Source organism: Homo sapiens, chromosome 1 (assembly GCF_000001405.40).
Source record: "Homo sapiens chromosome 1, GRCh38.p14 Primary Assembly".
Taxonomy (NCBI): Eukaryota; Metazoa; Chordata; class Mammalia; order Primates; family Hominidae; genus Homo; species Homo sapiens.
Window position 1 is genome coordinate 5670436 of NC_000001.11, and position 21792 is coordinate 5692227.

The following is a 21792-nucleotide window of genomic DNA, read 5'->3' on the forward strand; positions in this document are numbered from 1 at the left end:
TTTAACTGGGAGGTACATGAAAGTTTGATATCATTATCCTCTACACAGTCCTGTGTGTTTGTAATATTGAGCCATATTTTTTAAACACTTGATACGGCATGAAAGGAAACTTGCCTACATGGTAACAATGGTTATCTTTAGGTAGCAGAATTCAAGACTGCTTCTTTTTTCTTTTTTTCCTACTTGTATATTATCTCTGTTTCGCTGTGTGAGGGTTTATGACTGCTGTGATGAAAAGGCTTGTATTCTAACTCCCTGCATCACAAGCACACACCATGCCCTGGCTGGCAGGACGGGGAGGAGGGAGCATGTCTGTTCACCTGGCCAGCCCTAGGCAGCTCTGCAGAGAAAGATACGGGCACTTCCCCTCTGCAGCCAAAGAGTTAAGAAGGCTCGATGTGAAATGAATCATTCCAGGGAAGCTAAATCCTGGCCTTATCTAATTCTGTATCCTGAGGCTGATTAATTTAAACTCAAAAATAAAATAAACATCAGCTTTAAATAAGGATTAAATACTCAGCGGGGTCCTTAGTTGAACAAACTGACATTATACATTTTATGGTATGGATTCAGGGGGCCCGGGGTGGGATGGGGGTATCTGTGGGGATGCTCTCTGAGCTAAGGGGAGAAAATCGCCAGTGCTCCTGGATTCCGGAGTGCATTCACCTTTAGCCTCTTGTCTGGATACCCACAGAAAACCCCAGAGCCACACTGTGGCAGGATCTTCACACAGAAGGGGGGCTTGTGCCCTGTGTCCCGGCTGCCCTGTGTCCCTGAGGGAGAAGGGATTACTGGAGGGAGTGGGTGAAGAGTTTGGAGGAAGCCCCTGATGTTCTTAGAAAACAGTAGGGAAGAGATTCCCCTGCCTGGGCATTGTTCCCAAATAGAAGACAAGAGCATGAACTAAAAACAGAGACCCCTAGCTCCCTCCATGGTCCCTGTGTTCAGAAGGGAACCCAGGAAAGTGGGGCAGATAAAAAATGGGGTGGGCTGTCTGACATGTGCCTGGAGGGACACACGAACCTGAGTCAGGCATGAGAGTGGGCAGCTGGTGGATTCTTCGAGGCCTGCAGCACAAAGCCAGGCGGTCATCCCAAGAACAACCCACGTCTGCAGAGGCCTACTGCATCCCTGGCCTCATGGCCACAACGTCACAGAGCAGAATCACATTATGTGGGAGGCCATGTGCAGTGTGAGTGTCATACTGGAGCTGGACCCTGAAGGTCCCAGACCCAGGTCCAGCTACGTCTCTGCTATAGTCAATGTTTGTGTGCCCCTAAAATCCATGTGTTGAAACCTAACCCCTGAGAGGTTAGGTTTGAATTAGGAGGGAAAGGCTTTAGGAAGTGATTTCGTCCTGAAAGCGGAGACCCCGTGAATGGGATTAGTGGCCTTGTAAAAGGAAGCCAAGGGAGCTTGTTCTCTCCTTCCACGATGTGGGGACACAGCTAGGAGGTGCCCTCTATAAGGAACAGGCACTCAACAGACACCCAATCTGCCACCACCTTGACCTTCCACTTGCCAGCATCCAGACCTATGAGACATAGATTTCTGCTGCTTATAAGCCCCCTGCGCTAAGGTATTTTGTTACAGCAGCCCAAATGGACTAAGACAGCCTCTGACAATCTTGAGCAACTCACTTATCTGCTGAACTCTCCACAGATTTAACTGTGATGAAATCCCTTCAACAGATGTATATTGAACACCTGCTTTGTATAAGGACACACTGTGTTATTGGATAGAGTATAAAACAAATCACAGTTCCCCAGAGGTAGGCACTGCCATAGCTGAACTGCAAAGCCAAGCTGCTGTGGCCAATGGGGGAAAGGGTGGGTGTCAGAGAAGAAGAGAACGTGCTAGAGTCCATGTCTGCAGCAATATTGGAATGTCTAATGGATGGTTCCCAAAGTGGTGACTTCTCATCTTCCTACAAAAACTCATAGTTGTCCCTGTGTAAAGTCTTCCCAGAAGTGCAGGGCGGCTGAGAATATGCAGATCAGAAAAGAGGAGAGGACAGAGAGAGCACATTCTTGGCATCAGCAGCCACGGACTTCTTGCAGGAAGGAAAGCAATTCTCCTGGATCCCTGGGTAGCAGATAAACGTACAGAAATACATTTGTTGGCTGTTTGGTTCATGGACTTCGAACATTTGCAGACCAAGAGGCTGAGAATCTTCTCCAACCAGATGGTGTGGGGCGTGGAAGTACAGAAAGGGATCAAAGGAGGAGGAAAACAGAGCAATGAGAAGGGAGCTCTCAGCATGACCAACACAGAGACCTGGGTCTCTGCTACCAACAATAAGAGCTAATATATAATGGTTGCAGGTCTGCAAACAGCAGGTTTTCTACATCACATGTGGCAAGCTCTGATGACAAGCCTGTGTGACAGGTATTGTTGTCTGAGGCAGAGAGTTGCTAAATAATCACATGCAATGGGTGGAATGCCGGAGAGTTTGGTTTTAATTGATCATCTTGCTGCTTGCTTTCTATCTGTCCCATCTGTAGTTTGTTCTCCTTTTCCTCTTTCTCTGACTTCTTTTGAATATGTTGAGTATTTTTATTTCACTTAATCTTCTTTGTTGGCCTTTTACATATAACTATTTTTGCTTGGTTTGGTTTTGAGTTTTAGTCATTGCTCTATGGTTTATGGTATATCATATGGTTTGGAACTGTGTCCCCACCCAAATCTCATGTTGACATGTAACCTCCAATACCAAACATGGGACCTAGAGGGAGGTGATTGGATCATGGAGCCCGTTTCTCATGGTTTATTTAACACCATCCCTGCTTGGTACTATATAGGAAGTGAGTTCCCATGAGATCTGGTTGTTTAATAGTGTTTGGAACCTCCCCCTCTCTCTCTTCCTCCTGCTCCAGTCACATAAGATGCGCCTGCTTCCCCTTTGCCTTCTGTCATGATTGAAAGCTCCCTGAGGCCTTCCCAGAAGCTGAGCGGATGACAGAATCACGCTTCCTGTATAGCCTGCAGAACTGTGAGCCAATTAAACCTCTTTTCTTCATAAATTACCCAGTCTCAGACTTTTTTTTTTTTGAGATGGAGTCTCACTCTGTCACCCAGGCTGGAGTGCAGTGGTTCGATCTCAGCTCACTGCAACCTCCCCCCTCCTGGTTCAAGCGATTCTGCTGCCTCAGCCTCCTGAGTAGCTGGGACTACAGGCACATGCCACCACACCTGGCTAATTTTTTTGTATTTTTAGTAGAGCCAGGGTTTCACCTTGTTGGCCAGGATGATCTCAATCTCTTGACCTCGTGATCCACCTGCCTCAGCCTCCCAAAGTGCTGGGATTACAAGCGTGAGCCACTGTGCCCGGCCCCAGTCTCAGACATTTCTTTAAAGCAGTGCAAGAACAGACTAATACAGTATATGTATTTAACTTAGCATTGGCTGCCATCAACATTATACCACTTCGCACAGAGGATAAGAACTTTAAGACAGTACCCATTCATTTCTCTCCTTTTGGGTTTGTGTTATTGTTTTCATGCATTTTGCTTCTAGATGTGCTGTAAACCCACATTAATTTGTTATCATTTTTCCCTTAAACGGTCGATTATCTTTTTAAAATGTTTTTTAATGTTGCATTGTTGCTCACACATTTGCCATCTCCGGTGCTCTACTTTCTTTTATGTAGATCTGGACTTCCATCTGGTTTCACTTTCCTTCTGCCTGAAGGATTTCTTTTAATATTCCTTGTAGTGAGGACTTGCTGGTAATGAATTCTTCAAGCTTTTCAATGTCTGAAAGTCTTTATTTCACTATCATCTTTGAAAGATATTTTTGCTGGGTGTAGAATTCTAGACTGACAATTGTTTTATCCTTAAGTATTTTATAGAAGTTACGGCACTATCCTCTGGTTTGCATTGTTTCTTTCTTTTTTTTTTTTTTTTTTTTGAGGCAGTCTCGCTCTGTCACCCAGGCTGGAGTGCAGTGGCATGATTTCAGCTCACTGAAACCTTTACCTCCTGGGCTCAAGCAATCCTCCCGCCTCAGCCTCCCAAGTAACTGGGACTACAAGCATGTGACACCACACCCAGCTAATTTTTGCATTTTATGTAGAGGCCAGGTTTTGCCATGTTGCCCAGGCTGGTCTTGAACTCCTGGGCTCAAGTGGTCATCCTGCCTTGGCCTCCCAAAGTGCTGGGATGACAGGTGTGTGCCTTCATGCCTGGCCTTGGCCTTGCATTGTTTCTAACCAGTTGCCTGCCATCTTTTTTTTTTTTTTTTTTTTTTTTTTTTTGGAACAGAGTCTCACTGTGTCGCCCAGGCTGGAGTGCAATGGCACCATCTCGGCTCACTGCAACCTCCGCCTCCCAGGTTCAAGCGATTCTCCCTGCCTCAGCCTCCTGAGTAGCTGGGGTTACAGATGCATGCCACCACGCCCTGCTAATTTTTGTATTTTTAGTAGAGAATGGGTTTTGCCATGTTGCCCAGGCTGGTCTTGAACTCCTGGGCTCAAGTGATCATCTGGCCTTAGCCTCCCAAAGTGCTGGGATTACAGGTGTGAGCCATCACGCTCAGCCCATTTTTATCTTTGTTCCTCTCTGTATAATGTCCTTTTCCCTTTGGTAACCTTTCAGATTTTCTCTTTGTCACTGGTTTGGGGCAATTTGATTATGATGTGCTTCAGTGTGTCATCCTCATGTCTCTTGTGCTAGGGGTTCATTGGAATTCTTAGATCTCTAGGTTTACAGTTTTTATCAAATTTAAAATTTTTCAACCACAGTTTTTTCAAATATTTTTTCTTCTACTCCTCCCCACCTTCTTCAGGAACTCCAATTACACAGATATTAGTCCTGTTGGTGCTGATTTTCTGTTCAATTTTTTTCCATTTTTTTCTCTATGTTCCATTTTTGAGTTTCTACTGCTACATCTTCCAGTTGACTAATCCTTTTTTGTATAACATCTATTCTATTTTAAATGCCATTTAGTATATTTTTCATCTCAGACATTGTATTTTTCATCTCTAGAAGTTCAGGCTGGGTCTTCCATGTCTCTGCTTCCATGTTCAAGCTTCCCTTTACCTTCTTGTTGTGGAATGTTATCATTATAATAACTGTTTTAATATCGTTGCCTACTAATTCCATCATATGTGTCATTTCTGTATCTATTGTTCAAGTTTTCTTCTCATTATTGAAAAATTTCCTTTTTCTTCACATGCCTGGTAATTTTCAGCTGGATGGCAGACAACATGAAATGTATCTTATTGTGTGTTGGATATTGTTGGGTTCCTATAAATATTACTGAGCTATGTTCTAGGATGCAGTTAAATTATCTGGAAAGATTTTGGTTCTTTGAGGGTTTTCTTTGAGGTCTTGTTAAGTAGGACCTTAGCAGCCTTGGCCTAGATCTAATCTTCCACACTACTGAGGCAATTCTTTTCTGAGTGTTCCATCCAATGGTCTGGGAAGTATGAGATTTGTCCACTGTTGCTGGTGGGAACACCAAATATGCCTGGTTCTGTGGGAGGTTCAAGCATTGTTCTTTCTGTTTCTTTCTGTTTTTTCAGGTGTTTTTTCCCCAGACTTGGGTAGTTTACACGCATACATGTGCTGATCAGTATTTAGCTGAAGACTCTGGAGATTTTTGTTTTGTGACTTTGTCCTTTTCATGCCCTGAATACTCTGCCCTGCAGAGTTTATCTGAGCTTCTTTGGTCTCCCTGGACTCTCAGCTTCATCTCCTCAACTCAGGACCATCACCATGCTCAGCCTGGTTTCTCCCTCCCTGAGCTGTGGCCTAGAAACATGTGACCCAAGCTATTCACCATTGGGCCATACTTGTCCCTCATCCTACCTTGAGGGTTTCATCAACTTTCTAGTGAGGAGTAATTGGTGACTGTTATCAGCACTATCCTATCCTATATATCATTATTAGTTGCAGGGTCCTTATGTTACTAAGTTGCCTATCATTCACTCCATAGCATGCATCCCATCATTATTAACTAATCCCAGTCCTTCATTCGAGTCCTCCAAAGGAGCTGAGCTAGATCCGCTCAAAGTATTATTAGCAACCAAGATCTCTATGTCTAGCAATTACAGTCAAGGTGTGATGCTCTGAGCCAGCACATCAGCAAGACATCCCCCATTAAAGAGGAGGTCTTAGGAAGACCACCTTGAGCAAGTGCTTCACACGTTACAAGTCTGGTCTTGAGGGGCTTGTAGTATTGAATAAGGGAATTGAATGTGGTAGTTTTTCAGACCTTCTCCCTTAACAGCCATGAGTTTATAATTATCCACTTTCCCTCAGGGAAATAAAAACCATGATTCTTGATTCACTGACGAGTTTAGGAAGAGGAGGTGGAGAAGACTGGATCAGGCCTATTCCTGGAATACGCTAGACAGCTTCTGGAGATTAAAATAATGACCACTAATGGATATACATGTTTAATGTTTCAGTTACTGGTAAAATTAATCTCCTGTTTAATATTAATAGAAGCAATGTACGTCTCTAGGGTTGTTAATCTGCTACCTTTCCACTACGTCAGATGTAAAAATAGCTCCCCATGATCAGCCAGGTGGGCACAGACAGGCGGACGTTGGGGAGGGAGGAGGGAGAAACTGAGGAGCAATAATGAGATGGTGACAACAACGTACATTTTCAATGCGTTACAGCTCATCAGAATTCTAAGGGAGAAGATTTTCTTCCAAGTACAGATACTTTTTCAACTTCATTCATGGGTTCATTCATATTCAACAAATATTTATTGAATGCTTTCCACATGACAGGCACTGTGCTAAGCTTCTTACCACTTACCTTATCTAACCCTCACAGCGGCCCTTGAATGAGAGCACTATTAGATTTCCATTTTAAGAATGAGAACATCGAGGCTCAAGGTCCTACAATTAGGAAGGCAGCAGAGACAATACCGGAATCCAGGTCAGTTTGACTTCAGAGCCAGCACTTCTAATCCTAACCTTTTAGGTCTTTATTCTTCTCAACCATCTTTAAGTTTATAATTGCATAAAAACTGAAAGAAATAGGTGGGAAGGTGGAACAGGAGGTGAAAGGGCCGCAGTCCAGAAGGTGCTCAGGCCCTGACTCCACAACCCAGGGAAAGATTTTGGGAGAATTTTCTTCCTTGACGGTAACTTCAGATTTTCATAATAATTAAGCAAATGTGTGTTAAGCACCTACTATGTCCAGGCACTGTGCTACACAGTGAAAAAAACTGATCAAGATAGACACAGCCCCTACCTTCAAGAAGCTTATATTTTATATTCTACTAGGAGACAGAGAGACACAGAAATATGTAATGAATAAAAACCAAAGAAGTACATAGACATAAATGAAGTAAACACAAGGGATGGCACATATGTTGTCCTAAAAGCCCACAGGGTACTCATGGTACAAGGCTCCTCAGCAAATGAACAGACACTGTGAACTATCTGGATGGCCCAGACATCCTGCTCCCTTCCTTCTCTTACTTCCTGCAGCTCCAAGTGTTGATTGCTACTAAGAAAACCGAAGGGAAACTGAGCTGGTGGGGGACCACCTTCAATGAGGGAATCATCAAAGTCCTCTCTGATGATGTCTATCTTGGAATCCTTTGCCAGGGAAACCATCTCTATGACCCTCATTGTAAAAGGAATTGCTAGAGGGGCAGTGAGTAATCTGGAAATGGGTGAGGTGCTGGAGCCCAGAGGAAGTCAGGATGGGGACCTCTAGGCATCTGGCAGCGGAAACCACTCCTGGTGAAGCTGCTAAAATAAACACCTTCTCACTATTTGTTCTCACTTCCTTCTCTCCCTATACTCAAAACTGAAATCTTGAGAAGTGGGGTGAGGAAGGGGAAAGTTCATTTGGCCTGGCTTAAACCACATGCCCATTTCTTGGCTGGGAATAGAGCACCTTAATTTTTGCTACCCCACTGAGGCTGTTCATAATAGGGGAGAGGAGATTCTAAAACAACAACCAAAAAACAAGGGTACTGTTAGGAATGGAGAATAGATGCTGCATAGCCAGAAAAGTTAATCACAAGAAGAGAAACGGACTAGAATTGAGATTTAAGGATAAAGAGAAGCAAACATTCTAGTGTGGAGGGTAACAGTCTAGGGAGTAGGGATAGCATGTGCCAAGGCCCTGAGGTGAGAATTTATGTCAGGTAAGAAGAGATGAACTTCATTATCTACAGGAAAGGGAACTAATCTGTGTATAAAGATACACAGTGCAAATATATGTGTGTGAATTGATAGATGTTGGGAAGGTAGGTAAGTAGGTAGGTAGGTAATAAAATAACTAAAAATATAAGCTTCCTGAAGTTGGTAGGTGGAGGCATGGATGGATGGGTGGATGAATGGATGGATGGATGAGTGGATGGGTGAATGGGTGGATGGATTCATGGATGGATGGATGGATGAGGGATGAATGGATGGATGGGTGGATAAGTTAATGGATGGATGAATGGATGAGGGATGGACGGGTGGATGAATGGATGGGTGAAATGATGAATGGATGAGTGGATGGATGGATGGATGAATGGATGGATGAGAGATGGATGGGTGGATGGATGAGTGGATCAGTGGATGGATAGATAGATGAATGGATAGATGGGTGAATGGATGGATAGGTGGATAGATAGGTGAATGGATGGATGAGAGATTAATGGATGGTTAGATAAGGAATGTATGGATGAATATGATTAGATGGGTGGATGAGTGGATAGCTGGATGGATGGATGGATGGATGGATGGATGGATGGATGGATGGAATAATGAATGGATGAGCGGATAGGTGGATGGATGGATGGAATGACAGATGAATAAGAGGATGGATGGATGGATGGATGGATGGATGGATGGATGGATGGATGCAAGGATGGATGGAGAGATGGGTAGATGAATGAATGGATATATCTTCCTGAGCTGGTAAGATTTTGGCCTTATCCTCAAGTCTGTAATTCTTCAGTATCACTTTTCTAACACATTGGCTTGAATGTCATGGCTGGGACAAAGGTGAGGTGAGAGAGGCACCTTAGGCACAAACCATAAGGAGGTGTTGAATCTCAAGAGTCAAGAGTGCCCTACAAGTCTACAAGTAGATGCCTCCATGAATCGCACACCCTAGGCACCTCACTCTTGCTTCCCCCAGGCTGTCCCTGTTGGGTTTTATACATGCACCTCTCCTGATAAGGAAACAGACCCTCCAACCAGAGACAGACAGCCTTGTCAGATGCCATGCTGCAAACGACTTCAGGGCCCAGGGTGTTCCTAAGGGCTGTTCCACCTTCTGATCTTTGGCCCTTTGCTGAGACAAAGTGATGTGACAGAGCAACCATTTGCATAGTTCTTGTCCCAGATCTATCCCATCATCTTGCTATGTAAACTTGAAGAAGCCTCTTACCCTCTCAGAGCTTCAGTTATTTTCTTTGTAGAACAAGAGAGGTTGGACTCAACTCTGGAATGATTTGGTTCAAAGAAAGAGTGGAAAGAAAGGTGAGAGGCTCCCAGAAATCTTCAAGGCAACCCCTTCTTAGAAGGTTTTGCACTGACCACTTCCCACTCCCCCAATATTTTCTTCACTTATTGACCTTTCAAATATTCTTCCTACATACCCAGCTTTGGGACTGATGCTTAGCACAATGATCCACACAGACACTGTCCCTGGACAGTGTCTTGGAGCTTAGAGTCCACTGAGGAAGTCAAAGAGTAAATCAAGAAGGAGGTCAATCACAGTTGTAACAGCTGCTCTGACACAATCCAGGGGGCAATAGAAACCTGGACAGTGAGCCTAACCCAGCCTGCAGTCAGAGAGGCTTCCTGGAGGAAATGGCTCCCACAGATGAGTAGGAAGAGATCAAGCAAATAAAGAGGAAGAAATGACAGTGCCCCCAGAGTCTCACTCAAAGATCTGGGGAGGTGGGCCAGGCCCCAACACTGCGAACCCCTCATCAGGTCCCAGGGACCTTGGTCATCTGCAGTAGCAGCACTGCCTCCAGATTAGCGTACACCATCTTGGAGTCCTTAAAAGTCCTTTCCTCTGTTCTTCGAGGTTGCATCTTGCTGAGCACACAGAGGAGATTCTAAGCTGTGACTTGTTGAAAGAGAAGCAGCAGAGGGTGTCATTCTTAACACACATGCCCTGTGGCAGCCTGGCGTGAGGCCTTGGAAAGATGATTAGGGTGTTTTTTCAAAGGATGTGATTGCTACATTTTCTTTTCCATTTTTGATGTTTATGACTCTCTTTCTGTCTTCTGGCTAGATCCTGAGCCGCACAGAGCTCACTCTTCAAACCTCATCTCATTATCCATTTTCACCCCCAATTGCATATTTTAGGGGCTGGTAATAGGGCTGCCTACGGTGCTATGTATTACAGCTGAAGGATCTGCAAGACTCCAACACCCCCACACTCTCCTGCCATGCAAAAGAGACAAAATATTTTCATTTCTAAGCCTCTAAGCCTGGAGGGGAAAAAAGTTATGCAACCGTGTGACAACTGTGGCTTCTTAAAAGTCTTTGGTAGCTGGAGAAGGGATCCGGTCTCAGCTGGGGAAAGGATCCAGTCTCAGCTGGGCTTTTTTTAAGTAACAAGTGACTGGGCCACTGACATGTAAAGAGGGAAGTGAGGTGCTCCTGGAGCTTCTGCCTCTGCGTCCAAGTGCCTGCTTGGAGGCCTTGCTGGAGACAGGCAGCGTCTGGGGTGAGGTGAGGATGGGGCCAGAGCTGATTCAGCACCTGCTATGCAGAAGTGCTGAGCCCTCCATTTACACACATCTTTCAGGTTGCACAAACTGGCATGTGTACTAGCTTTTTGTGCTGTGTAACAAATTTTCACACACTTAGCAGTTTACAACAGCACAAATGTGTAATTACACAGTCTCCGTGGGACTAGGTGTGGGTTAGCTGCACATGTGCTAACCAAGGTGAAATCAAGGTGTCAGCCAAGGCTACAATCTCATCTGAAAGACTCAGGGTCCTCTTCCAAGCTCACTGGTTGTTGGAAGAACTCAGTTCCTTGCAGTTGTAGGACTGAGGCCCTTACTCCCTAGAGCACCCAAGATTGCCTTCCATATGGCCCTCTCCACAGCATGACAGCTTGCTTCTTCAAGGCCAACGGGAGAGCATTTGCTACCTCAAATCTCTCTGGCTTCCTTCTTCTCTAATTTCTAGGCTATTTTTAAAAGGGTCAGGCCCACCAAGGACAATCTCCCTGATGATGATTAGGTCAGGCCCACCAAGAACAATCTCCCTGATCATGAGCTTAAAATCAACGGATTAGAGACCTTAAACACATCTACAAAAATTCTTCACCTTTTCTTATCATGTGACTTACTCATTTGAATGTCACCCCATCATAGTCCCAGCCCCACCCACCCTCAAGGGGAAGGGATTATACCAGCCCTGTGCCTCAGGGCCCATCTTAGAAACCAGGCCACCGCAGCTCATGTTTTCCATGGCACACACAGTGCCTGGCGTGAGTCAGCTTCCACTTGGCACATACATGAGTTCATTCGGGGGAGCAGAGAACAGGCAGTGTGGGCTTCCCAGGGGCTACAGCTCAGGCAACCTGGGTTGAATCTCGGCTCTGAGTCTCACCAGCTTGTGGGAACTTAGGCAAGCCACGTGCCTCCATTTCCTCATCCTGGAAATGAGTTCCATAATAGTACCCACCTGGTAAGTTGTTTAGAAGCGTCAATGACAAAGGCCCATAGCGCGCTTAGCAGAGCCCTGCATGCAGGGATTGCTCGGTGATGTTATGATTCTGCCTAATTCTGCCATCCTTCCTCAGTGCAGTGCCAGCACCAGGAGGCTCTTTCCCCCAGAGCACCACCCCTCCCTCTCCCCACCTCCAACATCCCCCTCCATCCCAGGAGCAAACAGAGACGGAGTGATTAGCCCTCAGTAATAAAAGTACACAGGGCTGTCAGCTGGCCTGCCAAAGGAATTTATGAACTCAGCAGAAGCTTGTACTGCTACAAGATAGTTTGTCAGGGGACCACTTCCCAGGTAAGAACAAAAAATATCCCATCTGTCACTGCCAGATCCTCCCTGTGGCAAGATATTAAAGCGTTGCTCTCCCCTTCCGCATTTTCCAAACCTTCTACAGTGAACCTGCATTATTTTTATATCAGATAAAAAAAAGGTAATAGACTTGATTTTTCACAGAAAATCTTTGCAGTTAGAAACACCAACTTCTGCCAGGTTGCGTCTGCAAGTACAGCATTACCAGAGTGCCTGAGAGCTCTGTTTTGTTCTTTTCTTTTTTTAAAACAAAGATCCATTATGCAAATCGATTGTAAAATTTTTAAAGCCTCTTGTCCTGTCTCAATTAATCACAGTCTTTGTGGGCCCGGTTTCAGCAGCAACGAAATCCTCGTCATGCATGGAGGGTGGCCAGAGAAGCAATGGTGCTGGCCTTGTCCTGCTCTGGAGACTTCTCTTGTCCCTTCCACCCAGGCCTGCCTTTCCTGCCATGATGACCTAGGCATCTCGCTGGTGGCTGGCCACCACCCTTCACCACGATCATCGCGCGCATACACACAAAAAATCCCTGGCAGTAGCCACTGTTCCATCCTCCAAAAGGGTCCTTCTCCAACTGGAGTGAAACTAATGGCCTGTAATTTACTGCTCAGCCCCTATGCTGCCGGCTAAGTGAAAGCAGCCGCTTGGCTTAGTTCCGCCCAGAGAAGAGAAGGGAATGAGGCAGGCCTCCATCAGCAGCAGCAGTGACGCTTCTGGTCTTAAGCCCGCCCTTCTTGCCCCTTCCTCCCCTTGGAGGAACTTTCAAGTTTCTCCACAAACCCCCTTCTCTGCCCCGACAGCTATACCGAAGTGGCTGAACAACTACCAACAGCCACACTTGATCAGCCGTCCCCAAATCATCGTGGCCAAGCATTCCCTGAGGACCAGCCTCCCATTTCTGCACGTCCCCACCACTCACCCCCAGGGCCCTTGTTCTGCCCATCTCAAGCACCTTTTCTGAATCGTTCCATTGAATCTCACTCTCAAGAAAGGAACCCAAAACTTATTCTCACTCAGGTATAAGAGGCCAATAAACCCTAAAGCTGTTGGCTGAGCATGAAGCTTTTAAGCTCAGAACCTCAGTAGGAAGTTTGGGAGAACTACCCCATCTCCTTGGTGGGAGCTGCAGCCCATATCAATGCTGAGTAACCCACAGGAAACACAGGCTTCCTGACCCATGAAAGAGTAGTAGGTGCATTACATTCTGTGGCCTGTGAATCAGAGCCCAGACCTCACACCTTCACAATGCCATTAGATGGATACAATTCCCGTGGTGCTGGGGAGGGAACACTAGCTTCTCACTTTGATAAGGCACCAGGCCAGACCTGCCAGAGACCCTGGTGGCACAGACAGATGAAACAGGAAGCTGCAGCTGGTGGCAAGATGCAACCTCTGGCCCAAAGAATACAAGCCCACCGTAAGTCCTCACACTTTCTCACTAAGGCAGTTTCCACTCTGCTCATGCAGTGCCCAACCTGAGCAACCTGACAGCAACCTCACCTGCCATCATGGGACTGCAGTACAAGCAAATAAGCTAGAAGGCAAAGCCACAGGCAAAGAAGGAAACTCAATTCCAAAAGCATGAATTCATCAATCGCTCCATCTCAGGCACAGAGGTTAAATGAATAAGACCTGGCTTTGCTACTGCAACACGGAGAAGGCAGGTGATTCAATCACTAAGCAAGAACTCACCATATTCTCAGGCCAAGTCCTGGGGTACCAGGATGATGGAGATACAGTCCCATCCCGGGTCTGCATGTACAAAAGGAGGAAAGAAAGCATGCCTGATGAACCGCAGACAATGTGGTAAAGGCTCAGGCAGATGCATGAAAAGAACATTCTGGAAGCCCAGAGAACCCTGCAGATGGGACCCTGCCTGTCCCCACCTGCACTCTGCCACAACCATAATGAGCTGTGTGCACCCTACACCTTCAAAGCCTTTGGTGTCTCTTTTTGCCCCCAAGCTTGCTACCTGTCTCCAACCTTGTGCTCCTCCAGCCAGCAGCATCAGCCTCACTTGGAGGTTGTTGGGAAGGCAGAAGCTCAGGACCCACCCAGACCTGCTGAGGCGGAACCGCCCTTGACCCAGACACCAGAATGGACGCGCACATATTTGAGAAGCACAGTGTTGAGGGGGCACACCCACGTGACTCTTCTCCATGCCCCATGAGTCCTGTGCAGCCCCTCCTGAGATTCCAGAGAACTTCAGCTGGTCTATGACACCCTCCATCCCCCAGGCCCACTTCATGGAGCCTGCTCACCCTGGTGCAGATAGGCACTGAGCCACCTCTCCCCATGGCCAGACTGTGTGCCCCTCAAAAGCAAGGACTGAGGTCCCCAGAGTTAACCCCTGCCAGGCACACGCCATGTTCCATGTTCAGGTGCAGTAAAGATTTGCTGAATGAATTAATAAACCGTACTTCAACTGTTTTAGACATCACACACTTAGTATATGAACAAGAGGAAATGCGAGGATGCAGGGTATAACTATTTAAAAGCGATCTGATTCATTCACCGCCTTTGAAAACGTCCAGAGAAGCGAAGGCCATGGCCTTTCGTAAAGAGCCGATTAATGTCAGAGGCCTGGGGCTGGCTGCACGCACTGAAGCCAGGAGGGAGGCTGGCAAAAGCCTCCCTGGGTACCAAGGTCGGGACGAGGGATTCAATTTGTCATTTTTTTCCTTTGTCCAGGAGATTAAAAGTTGCTCAGAGCTGGCTGCTCTGGGAACCTTGTGGGGCTGGGTAGGGAGCAGGGAGCACTTGGCAGGAAGCAACCCACCCCGACCCCCACCACCTTCCTAGGAAGACAGCCCCAACCCAAAAGGAAGCATCCTCCTTCGTTTTCATAGAGAGTCTCAGAGACCCAGACACCTTCCCAGCTGGTTTGGGGTTTGAGCGTGAGTTCTGTGCCCCTACATCCTTCCAGTTCCAGCAGCTGACCTGAGGGCTCTCAGGCTGTAGGGAGAAGCCCGGGGGTTTGGGGAGTGGACACCAGCAGAGGAGGGATGTACAGGAGGAAGACGTGCCACAGGGATGGGCTGCAAGGCTGCAGTTACTAATTCATTTGGATGAAGCTGCTAAAGTATAATTAAGGAAGAATCTCTCCAAGTTTGGAGTACACAGAACAATAAACAGCTGCCCGCTTTGATTAATAGCCAGAACATCACTGAATCCGTGCCCAGCAGCCATTCCGGCAGGAGCCTGTGGACTCAGGAAAGCTTTCTCCTCCGGGCCGGGCCAGGCACTGGGCACTCATTCCATCGACCTGGATGGCGGGCAAGAGAGGGCTCTCTTGTCACATAGGTTGAGGGAACACCAAACTGAATGAAATCACAAAATCAAAATTCAGTTGGTGCCTCAGAGCCGGGGCCAAGCTCCTGTTAGCTGTGACTCTCCCAGAGAAGCAGGAAGGCCGCAGTGATTAATCACAGAACCCTTCCTAGGTGGGGATGGGGAGTGTTGAAAGGGAAAGGCAAGAGAAGGAACCTGGAAGGAAGTGTCCTGTCCCCTGGAGACACAGCCCTCGCTGATCCTCACACTTTCCCTTTTCCCCCTTCACCATTAGGAGGGTGGGCACAAGACATGCCCAGCCTTGTTCTTGACTTTCAACAGCACCAGGTCCCAGTTTCTGAGGCTACAGTAAATGTTGATAATAGCTTGTAAGCAGCAGGGTAGGCAACTGGAATGGATCCAGAGCAGGCTTGGGAACGAGATACAGTTGAGGAACTGTGTTTAGATGGCAGGAGGAAAGACAGAGGGGAAACCATTATTACTTAAACCCTACAAGAGACTGTCATTAGAGTTGTTCCTAACATCTAGAGTCTCTCCTTCTGAGTAGAAGATCAACTTCTCCCACCTTTCCTGGAGTTAGGTATGGTCATGTGACTTGCTTTGGCCAGTGGAACAGGTGTAGAAATTGAGTGTGGTCATGTGACTTGCTTTGGCCATTGAAACAGATGTAGAAGTTGAGTGTGGTCATGTGACTTGCTTTGGCCAATGGAACAGGAGTAGAGGTTGGGCAGGGTCATGTGACTTGCTTTGGTCAATGGCAGACGTGTGTAAGCTCCCATACTCCCTTGACTCTGCCATGGTGCCCAAGGGTCACTCTAGATGGTGAAGGCTGCAGATGGGGAAGCCTAAATCTCAGGCAAGGACAGTGTACTTCAGAGCTGTGTTTTTTAAGCCACTGAAATCAGGGTGCTAATTGTCACCTCCTCAAAATCAAGCCTGGTTTAACTAATACAGAGGCTTATCCCAGGAGTGAGTTGCTGTAGCAGAAACCCAAATATGTGGCTTTGGCTTTGAGATCAGGCAACAGGAGTTTAGAAAACTGATACCAAAGGCTGGAAAGATGGTGGTCATGCCATGCAGTGGCCAGATTTTTGTAGAACTGTTGCCTGAGGTGCCTTGAGAAGTCGATCAGCCATGTGGTGAAGAAACGAATCAAGGGAGTGGGTGCTACACCCAGAGAAAAACCAAATGGATTGGGGGCGTCTCAGGATAGCAGCTCAGACAAAGGTGTGGTATCCAGAGTAGCCCAGATAGAGGCCGGACAGAGCAGCCCAGGGAAAAGAGCCTTCCTGTGTGACGCTCTCGCTGAAGCTGGACATCTCGAGGGCCTTGAGAGTACGTCTGACAGGTCACATGACCACACCCAACTTCTTCTTCTGTTTCACCAGCCAAAGCAAATCACATGACAAGGCAGTCACATGACTAGGAAAACAGAGGGAAACATAAGGATGAGACAACAAAGAAATTTAGAAATGAGGATTACACCTCCCAAGGAAGGGTGGCGTGGCAATTGGAACATGGAGCTGAAGAGATGAAGCCCTCACCACATTTTCAGAGCATTTCAAGGCCACAAGGCCCCCCGCCCAGCATGCACAGCAGAGCACAGAAACACATTAGGCAAAATGAGCCTGGGCCTGGCCCAATTGTCTACAGCCAGGAGTGGGCTGGGAAGACTGCTCTATCCCCAGGAAGAGCTGTCCCCATGCCTACTTCACATGTGGCTAAGAAGAGAACGGAGAAAGCAAACCCCCCAGAGAATGGAGCCAAGGGCTGCAGAGGACCAAGGGAGCTGCTGCCGGGGCGTAGAATCAGCACTAGATTAAAGAACATTCCCCACCCAGCAGGAGAGTCAGGCCTGGAAATGTTTACCTAGCCGACTGGTGAGTGCTGTGGGCCCCTGCTCTCCCCCTTTCTGAATGGGGTGGCCACCCTGTCCCTTTTCTGTACTTCTGGGGGCCGGGAGTGCAGGTAATTTGTCTTTTCAGCTCCTGGATACCTGAGAAGGAGGTGCCATGTCCAGACCCAATGCAGAGGCCACTGTGCCTCACTAGAGATCCCGGAGCAGACCCAGCCAGCAAGCAGGAGGCTCCTGGGTTCTTCCCCAAGTGGGCTAGTAGCTGGCACAGCCTCTTTATATTTATATTTGGAAATATAGCATTTGCTGATTAAAAATAGAACTAATGATATCTTTGTTCAACATAAGAAGACAACGGGTTAGAGAAATTATAGTTTCCCTCCCTTTCAAATTTTCTGCAATCTATGGCATTTTCAAGTATTATAGAATTTTTTAGAATATCTCTAAGAATAGCTTCTCCCAGGACCCACACAGAGGGCATGAGATTTACCCTTTTCAATAGAAGGAAAACTATTCCCAAGCCTTTAAAAGCATCTCCCTGTGTCTGAAGCCACATGAAGTCACCAGAACAATCGTTCCTGAAAAATGTCTTTTTGTCACCCTGCAGTGGGAAGAGTGTCCTTTTAGAATCCAGATCCAACAGGGAGCTCCAGATCCCCACTGCCCTTCCCTCCCCTTGCCGGCCTTACCACCCCGTTTCCCCTAGCCTGTTGTGAGAGGGGGTGTCGCCACAGATGCCCTAACCTGTACAGGCCACGGCCAGCCCCCATGGTGAGGGGCGGGGGGGCTCCTGCAGGCTCCAGCAGCCAAGACACCCATGGAGGCCTGCTCTGTGTGTGTGTGTGTGTGTGTGTGTGTGTGTGAAAGAGAGAGAGAGAGAGAGAGAGCCAGCACGTTCCTCAGAAACGATTCGCAGTCACCAGTAATAGAAACACATCCAGAATAAGGCAGTGAAAAATAAAGGGAAAAAGAGAGAATTGTACAGTGAAAGCACATGAAACTAGAATAAAAAAAGAAACAACAGACTCGGGGAAATAACAGCATGGAACATGACAAAGAGTCAATATCCGGATGCGATAAAGATCTCGGCCTCGCCTTGTCGTCTCCCAGACAGTCATAAACCGTGGAGAGGGCCCAGCAGAGCACCTGCCTACGCGAGCGTGGGCGTCCATGTACAGGCACGAGTGTGTGTGTGAGTGTATGTGAAGGCATGTGTGTTCCCATGAGTGTGAGAATGTGTGTGTGCACATGTGAGTGTGAGTGTGTGAACATGTGTGTGCACGTGCACCCAAAGTCAACTGACAGTACCGAAGCAATGACCTGAGACCAACACTGTCCCCAAAGGTGACCCAGTGTGGAGAGGCAGCATGGGAGGAGGCAGAGACTGCTGAGCTCTGACCCCGCCCCACACTGGCTCACCGTGGGGCCTTCTGCACAGTGACGTGGCATCTCCAGCTTTGTTTCCTCGTCTAGAATGGGAAGAATCCCACTGTTGCTGCACAGTTAAAGGAGGGAATGCGTGTGGTGCCCAGCACACCTCGGGGCTCAGTGCACTTTCACTGTCATCCTTCCACATGGAAACTCACTCTGTTGGAGAATTCACCTTCTGGGTAGAGGTGGCCAGACGGGCCCTTGGAGTGCCCAGGCTATCAGGGTTTTCTCTCTGCAGATGCAAATGCTCTAGAGATCTGCAGACCCCAACCTGTGGTGCACCAGGGAATGGCACCAGGGAAGGTCCAGGCCAGGACAGGCAGTGTCTTGGTGAGGGATGGGACCCTCCAAAGACAGATGCTCTCAGTGCCAAAAGAGCGTCCCTCCACCGCCTCCTTTGTAGACACCTCCCACACACATAGGGAGGCAGGAGGGCTCCAGGGTCCAACAGCCAAGGCCCAGACCCCAGCACTGATAGGCCCTAACGCATCCTGTTGGCCAAGTTACTCCTGGCTCCAGTATGAGGTGCCAGTGAGATGGTGCCTGCACACCACGCTCTGGTACTCAGTAAGCTGTGTTGTCATCCCATGAAGAGGAGCCCTTCCAAAGGCATGGGCACCTCCACCAGGCAGGGCAGGCACCCATCCAGTGCTGCTTTTAATTTGCCTATACTCTCCCTCTCCAATCTTGGAAGGATGGTCCCCCTTCACAGCAAACTCCCTGGGTCCTTGGGAACATCCCCGAGACCCCTGGCGGAAGGGATGATGCGGTGGAGCACTAGAGATGTGAGCCCTCCCCAATAAAGAGCTGCAAAGTCTAGGACTGATGAAGGGTCGCTTTCACTCAGCAGACAAACATTTGTATAATAATTAGGTTGAAGGAGGCCAACATTTTAGAAGACCGTGAATATTTTTACAATCATTCAAACGTCCAATCCTGGGTCAGTGGTTAAATAAATAACTATTCGAGGGAATTCCAGGTAGCAATGAGTGATTGTTGTCACATCCCTACATGACTATGAGTGATTTTTGTCTTATTAGTTCTACTTTTTGGTGTTTTCTGAATCATCTGTCTCATACAATGAGTATGCATCACTTTACTGAGAGTAAACAAATTAATTTTTTAACATATGCCTAGGGTGAAGAGGTACAACATGTTTGGAAAACAGTTGTATAAAGTTATTAAGGACATAATGGGTGCATTTGGGCCTTTGGAGAATTTCCTCTAATACTTAGGCTATCATTTTAACAACAAAGAGAAACGGAGGTTGAAACTCTTCTGAGGCTGCAGGGGAGATCATTTTCCCGGGACTCTTAAGTGGACCCCATTGGGCCCAGGGGACCCAGGCCCCACCCCAGCCAATTCCATCACCAAGTTCTTTGACCTCCACTCCTGACATTGAACCAGATCCCTGCTCTTCCTCCTGCTATCCCCATTGTCCCCTGTCCCAGCCACTCTCAGCACATACCTGGGTCATTAGACAGATCCTGTCTCCCGCCTCTCCTGCCTCCCCTGCTGGCCTTGTTACAGGAGGAATTGCCTCTCCCAGAAAAAGGCATGTTAGAGTCTGAACCCCCCAGGACCTGTGAATGTGGCCTTATTTGGAGGCAGGGTCTTTACAGAGATAATGAAGCTAAATGAGGTCCCTAGGGTGGGCCCTAGTGCAAACGCTGGTGTCCTCACCAAAGGGGAACTTTGGCCACAGGGAGAGGGAAGATGCATCTGCGAGCCAGGGAACACCTGAGGCTCCCGGAGGCTGAGAGAGGGGTCTGGGCAGGTCCTCACAGCCTCAGAAGGAGCCACCAGAATTAATTTTTGTTTTTAAAGTCCCCAGTGTGTGGCACCTTGTGATGCCAGCCTCAGGAAGCTTGTGTAAACCCTTCCTCCACAAGGCAGACAAGGTGATTTAAAAAAAAAAAAAATCTGAGCACATCATAGCAGGGCTTAAACCCAGCTAGCCACTTCCAAATGGGCGTAGACTTTGAAATGTCAGCATAGCTGGCAGGCAGGCCGGTCCCCACCTGGCTTCTTCCTCCCTCTAACTGCAAAGCAGTTCAGCGCCCTGGGCTCCTCCCGATGCTGCACCCACCTCGAAGCTCCGCCACTCTCACACACGACCCGAGACACTCCTGTCTGTCTCCCTCCTCTCTCCTCCGCACAGGCACTCACGAAGCCACACCGCCTCCCTCCCAATTTCTCCAGCTCCCTTGTAGGGTGTCGGTTTAAATAAGACCACTTATTCTAAGTGAAGTAACTCAGGAATGGAAAAACAAACATCGCATGTTCTCACTTGTAGTTGGAAGCTAAGCTATGAGGACACAAAGGCATCAGAATGATACAATAGACTTCGGGGACTTGGGGTGGGAGAGGGGTGAGGGATGAAAAACTACACATTGGGTACAGTGTACACTGATCAGGTGATGGGTGCACCAAAATCTCAGAAATCACCACTACAGAACTTATCCATGTCACCAAACACCACCTGTTCCCAAAAACTGTCGAAATAAACAATATATCTATAATGTATCTCAGCAAACGGGGCACATCTCAGCACCCAGCTGAGAGTGGCTGGGACAGGAGACAATGGGGACAGCCCCTGTTTTTTCCCAGTGCCTCCCTCCTCTTCCTCCTGCTCAGAGTGACTCCTTCCTTCAGTCCGGGGTTGATCCAGTTCAACGCTGTTGACATTTGGGGCCAGATCAGCCTTTCTTATGGGGGGCTCCCCTGGGAATCTTAGGGTGCTTAGCAGGATCCCTGGCAGAGCCCCTCCCCAACCAAAGTGATGCATTGCCAAGCATCCCCTGGGGACAAAATTGCAAAACCGCCCTTGGTTGAGAGCTGCTGCTCTAGCGGTAAAGGCCTTGAAGGGGTGGACAGTGCCCACCTCACTCCCCACTGCACCTCCTCCACTTCAATCCCCACCGCATCTCCCCACCTCACTCCCCACCACGTCATGTGATGGTCAAAAGGATGGATGGGTGAATAGGAGAACCCACAGACACATTTCAGTTGCCGGTGGCTCGGCTGCAGCCAGACCCTCGCTCTTGCCCCTGGTGTTGGAATAAGCCCTGCATGACTCACAGATGGCCTGGGGGCCGGGGGTGGGGATGGCCTCGTGAAACGCAGCCCCCATAGTGGCCGTCTCCCATCTCCTGTTCCCCTCCTTTGGCATATTTCAAATGCACCAGGGCTTTGTATAAACCTGTTATCCATCAAGGTGAAAGCCAGATAAATAAAAATG

At 47.8% G+C, this 21792-nt stretch overlaps 1 non-coding gene across 1 annotated transcript; it reads left to right on the forward strand.

The window, feature by feature from the left end:
* The first annotated feature begins 10516 nt into the window (after positions 1-10516).
* On the forward strand, positions 10517-10591 carry LOC124900451 (small nucleolar RNA SNORD66). Its single transcript, XR_007067404.1, has one exon. It is a non-coding gene; the product is annotated as a small nucleolar RNA SNORD66 (small nucleolar RNA).
* The last annotated feature ends 11201 nt before the right edge of the window (positions 10592-21792 follow it).